Source organism: Homo sapiens, chromosome 12 (assembly GCF_000001405.40).
Source record: "Homo sapiens chromosome 12, GRCh38.p14 Primary Assembly".
In the NCBI taxonomy this organism is placed as follows: Eukaryota; Metazoa; Chordata; class Mammalia; order Primates; family Hominidae; genus Homo; species Homo sapiens.
The window spans coordinates 63,827,700-63,831,618 of NC_000012.12; positions in this window are offsets into that span (position 1 = coordinate 63,827,700).

The window sequence follows — 3,919 nt, forward strand, 5'->3', positions numbered from 1 at the left end:
TTCAACCTCCTGAGTAGCTAAGACTACAGGCGCATGTCACTATGCCTGGCTAGCTTTTAAATTTTTTGTAGAGATGAGGTCTTGCTATGTTGCCCAGGCTGGCCTTGAACTCCTGGGCTCAAGTGATACTCCCAGCTTGGCCTCTCAAAATGCTGGGATTGCAGGTGTGAGCCACTGTGCCCGGCCCCTATGAGAAATTCTTGCACATGTACATAGAAAACAAATTCAAAAATTTTTATAACATTGCTTATAACAAAAAAAAGGAAATAATGTCCACCAACAGGAATATAGAGAAATAAAATGTTGTGTAGTCATTCAACAGAAAACAAAACTGTACAAAATACCGGCACATGCTGCGTGATTGAATCTCCCAAATACAATTTTGAGAAGTAATAGGCAAAGAACACATACAGTAGAATTCTACGTAGCATATAAAATGAATAAACTAAACCTATATATAAACCTACATAGCAATTAAAATGAATAAACTAAACCTATAAATCCTGTGCTAGTTTTCTACAGCTTCTATTTAAAAAGTTACCAGGCCAGGTTTGGTGGCTCATGCCTGTAATCTGACAGCACTTTGGGAGGCTGAGGCGGGTGGATCACCTAAGGTCAGAAGTTTGAGACCAGCCTGGCCAACATAGTGAACCCCCATCTCTACTAAAAATACAAAAATTAGCTGGGCGTGGTTGTGGGTGCCTGTAATCCCAGCTTCTTGGGAAGCTGAGGCAGAAGAATCACTTGAACCCAGGAGGTGGAGGTTGCAGTGAGCTGAGATTGCGCCATTGCACTCCAGCCTGGGTGACAAGAGCAAAACACCATCTCAAAACAAGAAAAAAAAAGTTACCATAGGCCAGGGGCAGTGGCTCACATTTGTAATTCTAGCACTTTGGAAGGCCAAGGTAGGAGGATGGCTTGAACCCAGGTCTTCAAGGCCAACCTGGGCAACATGGCAAGACCTTGTTTCTACCAAAAGGAAAAAAACTAGCCAGGCATAGTGGTGCATGCCTGTAGTCCCAGCTACTCAGGAGGCTGTGGTGGAAGGATTGCTAGAGTCCAGGAGTTCAAGGCTGCAGGGAGCCATGTTCACACCACTGCACTCCAGCCTGGGCAACAGAGAAAGACCCTGTCTCAAAAAAAATTACTGAAAACTTAATGGCTTGAAACAATACAAATTTCTTCTCTTACCTTTCTAGAGATTCGAAATCCAGAATGGCACTCACTGAGCTAAAATCAAGATGTCAGTAGGACTGTTGTGTTTTTAATGTGTCCCTCAAGAAGTAAGTGTTAGAAACTTAATCTCCAATGCAATAGTGTCAGGAGGTGGGACCTAATAGGAAGTGTTTAGATCATAAGGGCTCCACCCTCATGAATAGGGTAATGCAGATTAGAAAAGGGCTTGAGGCTGTGAATTCTCTCTCTCTCTCTCTCTCTCTGTCTCTCACTCTCTCTCTTTGTCTTTCACCCCTCATGCCCTCTCACGTCCCATCATGGCATGACACAGCCAAAGGCCCTTGCCAGATGCCAGGCCTCTTGATCTTGGACTTTCCAGCCTCCATGACTATGAGAAATAAATTTCTTTTCTTTATATATTACACAGTCTGTGCTATTCTGTTATAGCAACACAAAATGGACTAAGACAGTTGTGTTTCTTCCTGAGGGCTGTATGGGATAATTCATATCTTTGTTTTATTCAACTTCTAGATGCTGCCTGCCTTCCTTGGCTTGTGGCTTCTCCTTTCATCTTCAAAGCCAGCAATTCCATCTGCAACCTTAATTCCCCTTTGCCATATAAGAAAACATATTCACAATGCAGGGCAAAAATAATAATAATAATTTCCCTCTACCCTCTTAGGCTCAGTGGCTGAGCCTGTGAAATAAACTGATAAAAGACATATTAAGAGGAGTAAAACATACAAATTTTATTTGATCTTAAAAGTTTTACATGGGAAGGGGGAATTACAGAGAAGAGAACCCACCCCCACCAAAGAAGTAGCCAGGCTTGGAGGCTTTTACACCATTTAAAGGATGATAAATTTATAGAGAAATGACAAGACAAAGGAAAGAGGTTTATAAGTGTTCTAGCAGTGATAACTTGTGAAAAGATAAATGTAGGAGAATCACTAATGTTAGCCCCCTAGGGCTAGCCAGTAAGGTTTGTTTGTGTAGACTCTTCTGGTACCATTTCTGTCTATGGTATTGAGGGTTGTTCTCTCTGCTACAGGAAAAGGAGGGATACCTTCACAAGGAAAATTTATACCCTGTTTTTAGGAAGATGGAGGGAGGGCAGTGAACTTTTTCTCAATTGCCTTCAACTTGAAATAATACTTATGTCAGGATAGAATATTTGGGGGTGGAAAATTCTGATCCCCTACAACAGATTCCAGGGATTAGGATGTGAACTTTTTTTGCAGGATCGGGGGGAAAGGGGTGTAACTGTCTGATGGATTCCTCTTTTCTGCTGCCCAAAAAAGATGATACAGAGAACAGCAGGAGTTGCCATAGAAAAAGACTTTAATTATCACAAGGTAGCTGAGCAGAAGGACAGGAGATATTTCTCAAATCTGCCTCCCCAATAACTCAGAGTCTAGAGTTTTTAAGGATAATTTGATGCGCAGGGGGATAGGGAATGGGTGCTGCTGATTGGCTGGGGATGAAAAATTCATAGCACTAAATGCTGACAGCAGAAATCTGGAAAGATCTAAAATCGACACCCTAAAATCACAAGAGAACTAGAGAAGCAAGAACAAATTCAAAAGCTAGCAGAAGACAAGAAATAACTAAGATCAGAGCAGAACTGAAAGATATAGAGACATGAAAAGGCCTTCAAAAAATCAATAAATCTAGGAGCTGGTTTTTTGAAAAGATTAACAAAATAGATGGACCACTAGTTAGACTAATAAAGAGGAATCAAATAGACACAATAAAAAATGATAAAGTGGATATCACCACTGATCCTACATAAATACAAACTGCCATCAGAGAATACTGTAAAAGCCTCAGCTGGGCGTGGCAGCTCACACCTGTAATCCCAGCACTTTTGGAGGCTTAGGTGGGTGGATCACCTGAGGTCAGGAGTTTGAGACCAGCCTGACCAACATGGTGAAACCCCATCTCTACTAAAAATACAAAAATTAGCCAGGTGTGGTGGTGCGTGCCTGTAATCCCAGCTACTCAGGAGGCTGAGGAAGCAGAATTGCTTGAACCTGGGAGGCAGAGGTTGCAGTGAGCCGAGATCACGCCACTGCACTCCAGCCTGGGCAACAGAGACTCTGTCTAAAAAAAAAAAAAAAACCTCTATGCAAAGAAACTAGAAAATCTAGAAGAAATGGATAAATTCCTGGACACATAAACCCACCCTCCCAAGACTAAACCAGGTAGAAGTCAAATCCCTGAATAGACCAATAACAAGTTCTGAAACTGAGGCAGTAATTAATAGCCTACCAACCAAAAAAAGCCCAGGACCAGATAGATTCACAGCTGAATTCTACCAGAAATACAAAGAGGAGCTGGTACCATTCCTTCTGAAACTATTCCAAACAATCAAAAAAGAGGGGCTCCTCCATAACTCTTTATGAGGCCAGCATCATCCTGATACAAAAACTGGGAAGACACAACAAAAAAAAGAAAACTTCAGGCCAATATCCCTGATGAACATCAATGCAAAAATCCTCAATAAAATACTGGCAAACTGAATCCAGTAGCACATCAGAAAGCTTATTCACTACAATCAGGTCAGCTTTACCCTGGGATGCAAGGCTGGTTCAACATACGCAAATCAATAAACATAATCCATCACATAAACAGAACCAATGACAAAAACCACACAATTATCTCTATACAGGCAGAAAAGGCCTTTGATAAAATTCAATACCCCTTCATGCAAAAAACTCTCAATAAACTAGGTATTGATGGA